Source organism: Homo sapiens, chromosome 20 (assembly GCF_000001405.40).
Source record: "Homo sapiens chromosome 20, GRCh38.p14 Primary Assembly".
NCBI lineage: Eukaryota > Metazoa > Chordata > Mammalia > Primates > Hominidae > Homo > Homo sapiens.
In genome coordinates, this window is record NC_000020.11 from 11,890,033 (window position 1) to 11,904,445 (window position 14,413).

Below are 14,413 nucleotides of genomic sequence, written 5' to 3' on the forward strand. Positions count from 1 at the left end.
TAAATTCTGCATTTTATCAAGCCACCACCGGGCTCCCCTTCTCCCCTTCTTCCGTGCCTCTCAATTATCCACGGAATAAAGCTGAAGTCGTGCTAAGCATTAAAGATTATTTCCAGATGAGCTTCAACTACCTTTCCGGCCGCCGTTTTCATCTTTCACTAAGAACAATACACTCAGATTAAACTTGTCCCCGACAGGATGCATGGATTCATATGCTGTTTGATTTTTTTTTTTTTTTTTGCCACTTATGCCTTCGTGTTCACCTTTCCTCTTTTTCGCTTCTCAACGAAGTTTCCATGATCAACCCAACCAGCAGCTACTCTCCTTCCCCAGATCACTGAAGAGTGTAGTCGTTAGGTATTACGAGACCTCTATTTATGCACCCTCCTTATCTGTTAGAGAGAGGGCTGGCATCAGTGCCTAAAAAGGAGCCCCAAAGCCAAATGCAATCGGCCCTCTATTACCGGAGGATGCCCTGTATCCCGCACATCCACTCTGCCAGTGCAAGTGTTCAATAAATGCTTAATACATTCATTGATGAATGACCCAGAGAGAAAAACTGCAGTTCGTGGGACAAGGACGAAGTGGCCTCTCAGAGATGCGGGAGTGCTGGCTCTCCTCCACCCTCCCCGCCTTCTCCAAGCCCGGGTTCCCGCCCACCCCTCACTCCTGCTTGAGGACAGGGCAGACATTGCGCATGCCCCGTATCCAAGGCCGCCTCCGGGAGCACCTCCCATGCCGCTCCGCTCCCTCCCGGTGACCGGGCACGCGCGCTCGCTCCCGCAGAGCGTGCCCTGCGTGCGGGTGCCCGCCGAGCCCGCCGGGCGCTGGATCTCCGAGTGCCCCGGCCGGGGCCTGAGGAGCGGGCACAGGGCAAGGCGGCGGACGGCTGCGTCGCCCGAGGCGAGGAGGAGCGCTGGCGGTGAGTGAGGGCGCCGCGGGCGAGCGGGTCGGCGCCTCCGCGCGTGCGCAGCGCGGGACCGCCCGGGCAGGGGCGCGCGCCCTGCGGCCGGCCGGAGGGGCCGAGCGAAGCGAGGAGAGGCCGGGCTGGTGGCCGCAGGTCGGCCTCGGACCCACGGGACCAGAGGATCCCATATCCGTCCCCCGGGCTCGAGAGGCGCTGGCCGCGCGGGCTGGCTTTCCGAGGGGGGGGGGGTCCCAGTGGGGCGCGTCGGGCCCGCGCGGAGGTCCTGGTGCCGGGGGCGGAGGGGCAGGGCCGCCTCAGCCGAAAGACCGCGGGGAGGGGCGCACGAGCCCGCCTGGCCGTGCGGACGCCCGCGGGGTGCGCGACCCCGGAGGTGGCGGAGGTCCAGGCAGGGGGCGCGGTCGGGAAGCCTCGGCGCCTAGCAGGTGGCGGGGGCCGCGCCCCTCTCCCGGGGAGGCGCGCGGTGGGAAGCGGAGCAAACTTCCCCTAAGTAACTTTCCTGAGGCGCTGCCGGCGGGGACTCCGGGGACCGACGCTCCGGGTTTGCGCGGCCTCAGGCGCCGCGGGAACCCAGCGAGTGGCGGCGGGCGATGGCGGGGGCGGCTTCCTCCTGAGGCTGGACTAGTCCTCCGAGTTCTGAGTGGCATTTGTGGCCCGTTTGCTCTAAAAATAGACGTACAAGTTTGGTGTTCGGGAAGAAGGATGTTTGCTCTCTTGGGAAGAAAAGGCTTTTACCTCCTGGCCTTTTCAAAGAAAGTATTGTTCGGGCCTGCTGGGGATCCCTATTTATCAAGCAACCCATTGTCCTGTGTGTGCCTGGTGAAAGCGAGCTAATTCTATTATTAGTCCTCAAAAGACCAAGGGAGATCACGGTGCTTTTTCTTTTTTAAATATTCCCCGCCACCTCGCCAAATCCTGTAATACAGTTTCCCCAAACTTGGCTGCACAGAGGAGTCGCTGGGGAGTTTTAAAACTCTTAAAGCCCAATCGCACACCAGACCAATTAACACAGTGTATTTTTTAAAGATCCCCAGGTGATCGCGCAGCCGAGTTTGGAAACACTGGTTTAATATAAGAAAGTCAAGGCTTTAGTTTCACATAGTAGTAGCATTCAGTTTGTAATTGGTGAGATGAAACTCAAATTCATTTTCCTAGACAGGAACTCACAAAGAGCGGTTTGTTTCCCACCAGGGAGGGAGGGAAGCGTCTCTAACGGTTCAAACTTTGTGAACTATAATGTGACTCTAGCACTCAAAACAATTGTTCTAAGTGTTGTTTTGAATTTCTGTTGAGGTTACTAAGCCCGCTTTCACTGACTCCCTGCCCAGCCAAGGGCTTTCCCCTTCTTTTAACCCTACCTCAGTCCCCTACTCAACCCTCTGCCAGATCCCCTGTTTTAACTTTAACCTGAGGGAGGATCTTCCTCCCCCACAGGTTACTGGCTTTAAAGGGTTACTGCGGGTTCCCATAGCAACGAGTCCTCCAGGGGAAGTGGGCGGGTCCTCTTACCCTTGGGTTTCTGAACAGGACTCTTCCTTTTCGGAAGAATTTTTGAATCACCCTTTTTCATTTCTTGGCCTCAGCAGGTAAGGGTGAGCTTATGCAGTTCCAAGATGTTCTTTCTGAGATACTTACAGATTATTAACGCCGTTGTATGGGATGATAATTACTAGCAGCCATGTTCTTTCTTGATTTCTCATTCTTTCCCAATCCTTGCACTGATAACTTGTTTAACAAACTTCCAAAATGAAGTGGAAACAATGTTTTCTTTTCCTTTTTTAGCATGTTTTCTTGGAGGTGCACATGCCTAAGAATTGTATGCACTATTTCTCTAAAGCCCTAAGTTATATCTTATATTTAAAAATTTAAAAAAAATATAACTCCACATCTGTGCGGAAAAACTTTTGATAATTTGTGGCAAAAATGCCATGCTTAGCTTTTAAGTTGTTTTGTTCCTAGAAAGTACTCTGCCAACATTCTTTACAAAATGTTAAACTGCTTGTAATGTTATACTTTAACAAAGGAAAGGCACAATTAGTCTACACATTCTCCTACTTCCCTGCCCAAACACATGCATCCAAAGATCAATTTGAAAAAATGTTCATTTTTTTTTTTAATGCTCAAAACAGGTATGCTATAGACATCTAATTCCATTTTGCCTTGCAAGGAACTGTTAAAACTCTTCTGAACAAAATAGTACAGAAATAGGTCATTTAACATACTTGTTTTTAATTGTGTTTTTTAAAAAATATTTTAAACTTTGTAAGTTATCAGACTTTAGTCAATTCCAAAATACCTTTAGGATTCCAGTGATTTTTGAGTTTGTGTTGGGAGTTGAAATGGTTTTCTCTTACTAAAATCTATTTTATGTGCTGTTTAAATTTCTGTTAACTGAGCTATCAAGCAAATCCTGTAAGGTGAATTTTTCCCATTTACTGTGAGAAAGGAATACTGGTGGAAACCCCTATCATGTGATGGACCTTGTAGTTCCAGCAGTGATGCTGGGCTGCTAAAATAATAATCTTTCACTTAATCTTCCCTTCTTTCATCACACATTTAAAAATTACCTTTAAGCCTTTTCAATTTAGTATCTCTTTCAGCATAGTTGTCCAGTCTCAAATTCCTTGAAGGTGTGCATTAATGTACATTTATCGACATGTCCTTTGTTTATTCAAATTAAGCAAATACAGTTGAGAATTTGTTGTTGCTTTGTTTCTTTTAAAAAATTAAATAAAAAAATATTTCCTGTTGGGAGACATTTTGGGAATCACTGAAAAAAATTAAGAAAGTAAAAATCACCGTCATATCATCTAAAAAGAAACAACTGGTAATTAGATGATGTGCTTCCATTTTACTCTGTTTGTCTGCATAGACATACTTTTGAACAAAATTGGCCTTTAATTTTATCTGTAGTTTTAAATATTGCACTTTTATTTAATATGAAGTAAATATTAGAGACGTTTCCTTTTTCTGTAAACCCTTTGAAAATAAGATTTTTAATGATGAATACACCCAAGTTTATTGAACTAGTTTTCTGTTGTTTTACGTATTATTTTTAGTTTTAGTGGCTTGAGAATACAGTATTAAACCCTTTGGTTGCCAATCCTAGCACGGCCACTTCCTAAGTGACCTTAATTACCTCTTTAATCGCATTTCCTTGGAATAAGGGTCATGGTGCCTGCACCATAGAGTTTTGGTGAGATGGAATGAACTAAGTAGAGGAAGGCCAGCAGGGTCGACCAAATGACGTAGGCTCAGTACGTAAGAGTGGACACACAGGTGGAGCTGAGAAAAATGCCCTTGTCTGAAAGTTTAAATATTTCGGATTTACTCAGGTTAGATTTATAGCAGTGGAAATCCTGGGGCAGAGGTGAACTCTTTTATGACTCTTGTGGCTTGTTGCCAAATTGCTTATGCCATAACATTCCCTTACAGAGTGTATGGTCTACCTGTAGTGTGTCAGCACTCCAGTGTTCATCATCTTTCCTGATTTTTCTATAAAAATATGATCTTTTAATTTATTTTTTGGTAGCTATTGAAATTGATCATCTGTTTTTTTTCTTTTGTTTTCCTTTTTGGGAGCTCTCTCTTCTGGTACTTTGCCTACTTTAAAGTGGTGATTTAAAAAAATTAAATACCCGTTTTATCTAAAGAAGATTGAGTGTTTATCATGTTTTTAGTTTTCTTTTTTTTCTTCTCCACAGGCCATTATTTCTTTCACTTTTTGGCGTTTTTCAACCAATAAAATATTTTTATTTCTATATAAACAAGTCTCTACCTTGTCCTTTATGATTTTTTCCTTGTATTTGTTCATGCTTGGAAAGCCCAGAAAGACCCTGCAAATGGCCCCAGTGAAAAACTCAGGAGAAGCAGTAAGCAGTCAAAAGTGGATGGGGAGGAAGACTAAGGCGTTGAGGAAGACCACTTATTTTACAATAAGGCTTTTAGACTTTAAAGCTGTATGCATATATTAAATTTAATAATCTTTATCTGAAAGGTGAGATAAACAACATTTTGGAAATATGTTAGATCTTTTTACATTTAATTCTATAATTGTACATGGATATGAAGCGCTCCTATACCGCCGCTGCCTCCTCTTCCTTTTCCCTAGTTAGCGAGTTCTACCACCATTTGTTAAATAGTTCCTCCTTTCTTCTTTGCTTTGTGGTCTTTATTGTTTTTTAAGATCTTGACTAACTTTGAGGTCTGCTTCAGTTTTAGGTCTTGCTTCTCTGTGTGTTGATCCTCTAGTCTTAATCAATGCCACATCTTTTTAATCATAGATTTAGAATATTTAGAAATACCTGGCAGAGCAAGTCACACTATCCTTTTAACATTACAATTCTATGCCCTTGTCCTTTCAGATAAAGATTATTGTATTTAATACATGCACAGTTTTAAAAGTCTAGGAGGCTTATTGTAAAATAGATGGTCTTTCATCTGCCTCTTCTTCCCCCCATCCCTTACTCTCCCTCCCCAGTGGCAGCTACTTTGGATTGTTTACTGTTTCTCCTGCGTTTTTCACTGGGGCCATTTGTAGGGTCTTCTTGGGCTGGTCAGAGAGTGGTCTTCCAGTAAAGTTTTGCACTGAGGAAAGAGTGTAGGTTCCAGTGTTCATGGAGGAATCTGGCTGGGGTTTCAGCATTCTCTGTGTAGAGTCATGTTGGAGAAGGTTCACCATACAGACTTACCTGTTTACCTACTCTTCCAAGAACAAATCTCTAGTCTTGCTAGGTTCTAGGATTGTCTGCCAATGGTCTACAGTGAGGAGGTGGGGAAGGCATCTTGGAATTTTAGAGCTTCTCATGCAGCTTTTACTGACCTTATTTTAACCTGTCACCCTTTTACCCTCAGTCTTTGAGCAGACTGGAGTGAGTACTTCTCGGCTTTTCTCACTGTTGGTATAGCATTCCCTCTCTCAAGTTGGCTGAGACAGTTGCCACTTGTCCATCTGTTTTCCACTTTCATGATTTGTAGTTTCCATTACAGTTCTTTAAGTCCTTGGGTCTCTATGTCTTCTAGAAAGATCTCTTACTGTCACTTAAGTGGGGTTTAGGGAAAGGGTGTAATTGGATATGTGTGTTAAATTTACCGTCTTAATCTGGAAGGCTCGGAAGATGAATCCTTAGAACTAAAAAAATACCGGATCATGTTACATTTTGTTTCGTTGGCAAGGACTGCCATCTGTAATCAGTGTTTCTTTTAAGGGTCATGAAAGATTATTCATGACCTTTTATCTCTCAGCAGAGTTGTTTTCTTCATCTGAATCCTAATGTTTCCTGTTAGAGTTCTTCTTAGGTATTTGTTTTTGTTACTTTGTGATGGGCTCTTCAAATTGGCTGTCGGTAGTCTAAGATGGTGGTTGATTTTGGTGTATTTATTTTATAGCTGGCACTTATGCGAAAAGCTTTGCAGTTTATTTTTGTATGTTCCCAAGTTATATGAGTGGCAGATAATGACACTTTTATCTACTTTTAAATAGTTATGACTTTTATTTTGGTTCTGTGGCGGTTTGCACTAGATTTAGCATTCTGTAACGTTATAACATCTTTCTGGAACATTATCGAATAGTAATGGTGATAATGTACACACTTTTATTGTTCTTTATTTTAGTAAGGAAAAGAATAGTAGAATATTGGCTTTTTGGTTTATCATAATTCTTCATCAGGACAAAGAAAATCTATCCTTTCATTTCCAAGTTGCCTAGAGGTAATTTTATGTTTTTAAGACATGGGAATTGAATATTAGCAAGTGATCATTAGCATCTGCAGTTTATCTGCTGGTATTTCTGAAGAGTCTACTGATTTGAGTCCCAAATATTAAATTGGATCAAAATTTTCCTTATGGATGGTTCTTCAGAAAAAGAAATTGAATGCATGGGAAGAATGTAGTATAACATATTCAATGCATGAGCATATTGTCTTGGTTGGGGTGGTATAGGAGATGTCACTAGGGATTTTTCACAAGCAAATATTCCAAGTTATAGCTGACACTCAAGTCACATCTTTACCTGTTGGCAGTATTTGATGTAATTTGTTATTCCTCCTTTTTTAATATTCTTCCTTCATTTGATTCTTGAGGACACCACACACTGTTGCCTTCCCTTCTATACCGCTGGCCTTCTGGTTTCTTTTCAGTTGTTTTTAAATTTGTGTTGGTTTTCTCTTCTCACCAGCCTATGAATTTAGAATGTGCCAAGGCTCAGTTCTCACCCGCCTGTTGTCACAAATAGTCACAGGGCTTTAATAAAATACTGTGTAGCTACTTAAGACTCCTAAATGTATATTTCCACCTCAGACATCTCCAACTACTTTTTTGACTTCTTAACGTGAATATGTGAAAGACGCTTCAGCCTAAATATGGCCAGAACAAAATTTCTGATCTTTCTCTGCAAACCTGCTCCATCTGCAGCCTGCCCCATTTTATTAGGTTGGTGCAAAAGTAATTGTGGTTTTTTGCATTAATGGCAAATTACTTTTGCACCAACCTAGTGGGTGTTAGCTCCATTTTTTTCATGTTATTTAAGCAAAAAAAAAAAAAAAAAAAAAAAAAGAACATGGAATCCTCCTGACTCTTCTCTTTCTCTCCAACTCTGTTTCCAGGTTGTCAGCAAATCCTGCTGTTCTGTCTTCAAAATGTATCCAGAATCAGTTTAACTACTTTTCCCATCCGTACTACCAGCATCTTTGTCCAAGTCTCCTGCATTTCTTGCCTGGAGTATTGCCGTGGCCCATGGCCTCCTAACAGATCACTGGTCTCCTTTTCCTTCCCTGGCTTCTCTTTGATTTTCCATCTGCTTAACATCAGAGTGATCTTTTAAAAACATAAGTCAAATTGTGCTTAAAACCCTCCAGTGGCTTCCATGTCACTCAGAATAAAGGCCAGTGTTCTTATGATTCATAAAACCTTACATGATCTGGGCCGGGCATGGTGGTTCACGCCTGTAATCCAGCACTTTGGTAGGCTGGGGTGGGCAGATCACTTGAGGTCAGCAGTTGAAGACCAGCCCGGCCAACATGGTGAAACCTTATGTCTACTAAAAATACAAAAATTAGCCAGACGTGATGGCATGCACCTGTAATTCCAGGTACTTGGGAGGCTGAGGCAGGAGAATCTCTTGAACCTGGAAGGCGGAGGTTGCATGCAGTGAGCCGAGATCGTGCCATTGCATTCCAGCCTGGGGGACAGAGTGAGATTCTGTCTACAAATAAATAAATAAATAAAAATTAAAAAGCCCTACATGATCTGATTCTCACTAACTGACCTCTTCTCCCGCTTGTCTCCCACTCGGCACTTTCCATTCCAGCCTTCCTTACCTCCTTGCTAATCCTTGAACGTGGCAGGCACATTTCCATTTTAGGTCTTTGCACTGGACTTTTTCCTCTGCCTATAATATTTATCCTACCCCCCCAGCCACCTCTTTCAGGTCTTCACTAAAATAGCATTTTGTCTGTGCGATTACTCTAGTTACAATTGCAATCTGCATCCTGTATGTCTCTTGCAGTGCTCTGCATTTTATTTTTCCGTTGCATCTGTTACCTTCTAAGTTACTATTTATTTGTCTATTTTGTGAATTGCCTCTCTTTCCTACCTCTGCTAGACTATAAATTCCTTGAGGTCGAGTATGTTTATTAATGTGTCCTGAGTGCCTAGCACATAGAAGATGCTCAGTAAATATTTTTTGAATGAATGAATGTAGTCTGCCTTCTCCAATTTTTTTTTCAGTGAATTTCCCATAAAGCAACACATGCATAGTGTTTTAGCATTTGTGGATCTAACGTTGACTTATCCCACCAGCAAGGGAGAAGTTCAAGAACATTTATAGTTTATAATGGAGATAATAATACAGAGAGTGGTTATGAGAATTAAATAGGGTGCTCTCTGTAAAGTACTAATGGATAGGACCAGGTCACTTAACTGACAAAAAAGCCTGGCCAAGTGCCCTGATTCACATCTGAATGATGTGAATTGTATTCTAGAATCTTCTCTCTTTATATTTCAGTTTTTAATCAAGAGTAGGTGTGGCATCACCTGGGAGCTTTTCAAAACATACCTGGGTTCCCTGGTAAATATCAGTGATATACTGTTACTATATTTTGTTCTTTAACCAGTCTGCAAATATTTGTCCCTTAATGTGGGTGATAACTATTTGCTCTCCCCCTTTTAATGCCTTCTTGCTGTTTGGGACATCTTTCATGGCCCCTTCTAGTCTTTTTTCCTATGAGGTTCTTGCTGAAATAACTTCTAAGGTGATTTTGAAATCCTCAGAGCCACTTGGATGCACGTAATTGAACCTTTTACTAAATCCACAAAATCAAAGGATCTCAGTCCTTTACCTTCTGTTTTCCAGACAAGAGAATGTTGTAGTCATCCCTACAGCAATCCTTATAGCAGTCATTTTATTTTATTGTTTTTAAAATACCTGATTTTTATTTTTTCATATGAATTATATTAAATAATTATTATGCCCCCTCTAGTCGTCACACAAATCTGAGAAGTGGATGAGCACTGTATTTGATCTCTTGGACACTTCCCTTTATTTTCCATGGCTCCTCATGTCTCAGACCCTTAAAGTATTTGCATTCTTTTCTTTTCTTTTTTTTTCTAATTGTATTTTATTTTTACTTCCAGGATACATGTGCAGGACATGAAGATTTGTTACATAGGTAAATGTGTGCCATGGTGGTTTGCTGCACTTACCAAGCAGTCATTTTAAAGTTTTGCTTATTGTGTTTCTAGGCTCCTTTTGTGTCCTTCAAATCCAAGAATATCTCAAAAACATCAGACTCACTTTCCTCCTCTTTCTTAATAGAGCAAGAAACATTTGTAGATTTTTACTGTTGCAATTTACTGTGCAAGCAAGTGCTGTGATTTGCAAGAAAAAAAAGATGATTATTTTAGAGATGGTTTATGCAACTGAAGAATACACAATAAATAAAAACCATGATGTATGTGTGTTTAGAAATGGATAAGCCCAATAGCTGTTACCTATACACAAAAATGTGAAAATTTTCTTCAACTCTACTGTCAAAATAATTCAAAATATACCTAGCTCCTTGTGTATATTTGATCTCTCCTTAATTTTTCTATGATGCTATATAAGTAAGAGCATTCCCCATATTTAATTAGGTGTAAACATTTTAGCGGTGATTACCATGCACATTGGAAATAAAATGTCACAAGTTCCATTGCTTTGAATGCATCTGTTCTACCTGATAAATTTCCCTTGCCTTTGCAACTCTGATTAGATCTACTTTTTGTTGTCGTGAAGACTCATTCTTTTGAAAATAGTGCTGTTACAAATTCATTTTATATTGAACCCTAAATATTCAGTACTATTGGCCAAGGCTGAATGGAAAAAATTGACCTATGTATCTTTCTGATGATAAATCACATTGCCCTCAGTTTAGGCCATTAATGGACAGCCCAGTTGGAAAACACATCTCGTTTAAAGTTCTACACCTGCTTTGGAGACTCTTGTAAGTATTTGTTGCCTTTGTGAGAGTTTTTGTCTTTTAATGCCACCTAATTTCTTCTACTAATCTGTTTTTTTTGAAAGTGGCGGTCTTGCCTACCCATCACCAGCAAACATACTCTATAGTGAGGGACTAATTTTGGCCCTCTGCTATGATGTTGTACTTTAGGTCTCTGTGGATAGAGAAGGACTTCTAATGTAGACTGCCACCTATTTTCATACCTTTGTTCATGGAGAATGTAGCAAAAAGTCAAATATAATAAAGTCCACCTACTTTTTTTTTTTTTTTTTTTGAGACAGAGTGTGGCTCTGTCGCCCAGGCTGGAGTGCAGCGGCGACATCTCGACTCACTGCAAGCTCTGCCTTCTGGGTTCACGCCTTTCTCCCGCCTCAGCCTCCCGAGTAGCTGGGACTATAGGTGCCCGCCACCATGCCCAGCTAATTTTGTTTTTGTATTTTTAGTAGAGATGGGGTTTCACCATGTTAGCCAGGATGGTCTCGATATCCTGACCTCGTGATCTGCCTGCCTCAGCCTCCCAAAGTGCTGGGATTACAGGCTTGAGCCACCGCACCCGGCCAAAGTCCATCTACAAATTTAATGTGTTGTTGGAGAATGATCTATATTCCTAGAAAACCTGGAAATTGGTACAATTCTTAATTGAGGTTATATCAGGTGACTTTTCCCAAAATCTTATTTTCAATAGAAAAAAATGGTGAGAAGCTACAAAAGTCCCTCCTTCTGCTCAGGATGCAGGTTCAGGCTACAGGGAACTGTTGGTAGCATTCTCTTGCACAGCACCTCCCCGCTCTACCACTTAGACATCAGTGTTGGGTGGAGGTGCATTCCAGAGTGCTCTGTCTCTTCCTGTGGTTTTTTTGTTCACCATCTTTTGTGGCCTTGGGAGACAGGATGAATAAGTGCTTGAAGCTGAAGATCATCTGTTGGAGAGTGAGCTGTTACTGAAAGTGGTCAACAGTGGAGGGAGCGTGCACATGTGCAGTCACTTTTGATCCCTATGCAGTCGCAGTCAGTCTCTCATGGTGGACTTCCTTACCCTTCCCCAAGATGATTTCAGCACCTACTTAATAAATGCTGTGTAATTTATTTATTTAAATTAGTAGATTGTCTAGTTAATTTAATACCATTCAATAAGTATTTCTGTGGGATCAGCTCACGCGTACTTGAAATGTTTTATTACTTTATTAGCTACTTTCTCTTATAAGTGATCCCCCCAAAATGTCAGAATCAGTTCTGAACTCTTAGCTAGCAAATATCTCCTAGCATATACTCAAAATCATCACCAGGCAGTGATGGATTTGACTAGGTGGGTGTGGGTTAGGGATGTCAATATATAATGGTGTTCGGTTTGGCTTATAGGAAAATGAGATGCTCAAGATAAGGACAACCTATATTTTGATTTTACAGTGTTTCTATAGTATTATATAGTTACTGAGTGTGAAGTAGTTGTGAGGATCAGAATCCTACTAAAATGTACAACCTCTTAAAATTTTTTTAAGAGTGAAGATGGGAAGGTGTTTGGATGCTAGCTCTAGTAAAAGACTAGACCCTTGAACAACTTGAGCATAAAGAGGCACTGATGCCTGCCCCCACCCCACCAACCTCCCACCCCGCACAGTTGAAAATCCATGTGTAACTTTTGACTCACAAAAACTTAACTAATAGCTTACTGTTGACCAGAAGCTTTATTGAGAACATAAACAGTCAGTAAACGCATATTTTGTGTGTCGTATATATTATATACTACATTCTTACAATAAACTAGGGAAAATAATATATTATGAAAATCATAAGGAAGTGAAAATACATTTATAGAAATGTACTGTATTCATCAATATTGTAAGTTTACATCATCTGTTTACAAGATGAATCATCTGTCTGAAATGGTGGGTGACCACAGCTACAGACCTCAATCTACAGTACATATCAAGCAATTCAACTTTTTTCTTGTAGTGTCTTTTCTATGCTTCTCGGAAGCACTTCTAGCATCACTAATGGCACTTTGTATGGGTCTCATGATGTTATTCGTGGTTTACTGTATTGCACTAAACATGATGAGAAATGCACAAGAACCACCAGAGATCACATTTTACTGCCATAAGCAATATATTGGGGAGAGAAAGTGCTCATGCTGAGATGATTAGCATCATATGGCACTTTAGGCAGATACTGGCAACACTTGAGTTCACCACAGGAATAACAGGAGATGGCTATGAAATTATTACAGTAGAATAGTATGTACTACAGTTAATTTTATGCCTTTATGATTTAATACTGCATTTTTACATTTGTTTACATTTCTCTGGACTGGGAATGGCACTATATACAGTCAGTATGTGTTTGTGTGCATAAATTTTGGTAACTCTCATAGATGTGTGTATGTTTTATGGTAGTAAATGATAAAATAGACTCACAGCTACATGTTTTACCCATTAATGAAATACAAAACTTAAAAAAATTTCAATATATCTAGGCTGTGCAGTTCATCTGTTTTTTTTAATTGTTACACAAATCTCCAACTAATTTTCCAATATAGTTATTGAAAAAAATCTAGATATAAGTGGACCAGAGCAGTTCAAACCCATAGCGTTCAAGGGTTACCTGTATTTTTAAATAAAATGTTATTTAGATTAAGTATTTCTTTTGGACTTTTACAAAGTCCTAACCTAAACTTTATTTCCAACAAACTGTTTTCTTCTATTTAGTATATAGGAAGATTTCGATATTTTATGGTATCAAATGCCATACTCTGTAGATACAATATTAAAATGGCACTGTAGGAAGAGTCATATTCTGCCTGATATATCTCTCTTTAAATGAAAGAAAAAAGTTAACAAATTATCTTAAACATTGGCAGCCATGCTTGCTTTAGGAGAACACCAAAGATTGCTACCCCCAATTCTCCTAAGGAAATGTGATGTAGGAGAAAGCAGATTTTCAGAGAGAGATGTTTGTTTTCTTGCTGGTTTATGTGAAGTTTGTAGGGATACTTGTCTACCTCAAAGCTCATTTACAATTTTTTTCTTAATGTCTTCAAAGAGGATGTCAATTAATATGATTTTGCACCCTAAATTCTGTGAATTTTCTGAGGTTGGGGTATTGACGAGATGCCAAACAGTGCCATTGAACAGATGGAAGATTAGCTCTTTGACTGTTCTTAATTTTTTTTTTTTGAGGCGGAGTTTCGCTCTTGTTGCCCAGGCTGTATGCAGTGGCATGATCTCGGCTCACTGCAACCTCCACCTCCCTGGTTCAAGTGATTCTTCTGCTTCAGCGTCCGGAGTAGCTGGGATTACAGGTGCCCGCCACCATGCCCAGCTAATTTTTTGTATTTTTAGTAGAGACAGCGTTTCGTCATATTGGCCAGGCTGGTTTCAAACTCCTGACCTCAGGTGATCTGCCTGCCTTGGCCTCCCAAAATGCTGGGATTACAGGTGTGAGCCACCGCTCTTAATTTTTGTGGCAGAGATTGTCTCTTGTATCCTTCATTCTGTCTACAATGTGCAAAAATATATTTTGGAGTGAATGGTTGAGATTTGTGCTCTGAGAATTAGTTACTGTTTTCTAGGAGAATGAAAGGGAAAAAGTAGGTATGTGTAAAAAGTTGGCCCTGATCTTGTATATAGTTCATTAAGAATTTTTTTTGTTAATAGCTGTATGAGTCCGTTCTAACACTGCTGTAAAGCAGCTACCTGAGACTGTTTAATTTATAAAGAAAAGAGGTTTAATTGGCTCACAGTTCTGCAGGCTCTACAGGAAGCATGGCTGGGGGTGGTGCTCAGGAAACATAGAATCATGGCAGAAAGTAAAGGGGAAGCAAGTACATCTTCACGCGCTGGCAGGAGAGAGCAAGCAAAGGGGCAAGTGTTATGCACTTTCAAACAACCAGATCTCATGAGAACTTACTCACTATCAAGGTGGAAATCCACCCCTATGATCCAGTCACCTCCCACCAGGTCCCTCCCTCAACATTGGGGATTACAATTCATCATGA

The 14,413-nt window shown here is 40.8% G+C and overlaps 1 protein-coding gene across 11 annotated transcripts in view, besides 1 other annotated feature; it reads left to right on the forward strand.

Moving 5' to 3' along the window:
* Window positions 711-910: a silencer, noted in NCBI's record as "silent region_12676". NCBI's record gives its function as "represses an Ori minimal core promoter by ATAC-STARR-seq in GM12878 lymphoblastoid cells {active_cell/tissue: GM12878}" and the evidence as "EXISTENCE:reporter gene assay evidence [ECO:0000049][PMID:35858748]".
* The window catches only part of BTBD3 (BTB domain containing 3), a 35,779-nt gene continuing 22,150 nt past the window's right edge, over window positions 785-14,413 (forward strand). For 6 of the 11 annotated variants that reach the window (NM_001395005.1, NM_001395004.1, NM_001395003.1 and 3 more), the window contains exon 1: window positions 785-922. The gene's annotated coding sequence lies outside the window, so the exon portion shown is untranslated. Of the gene's footprint in view, window positions 923-971; window positions 1,061-2,460; window positions 10,405-14,413 lie in introns of those variants that run through there. The other 5 variants (NM_001395006.1, NM_001395007.1, XM_047440013.1 and 2 more) reach the window with 3 other exon arrangements.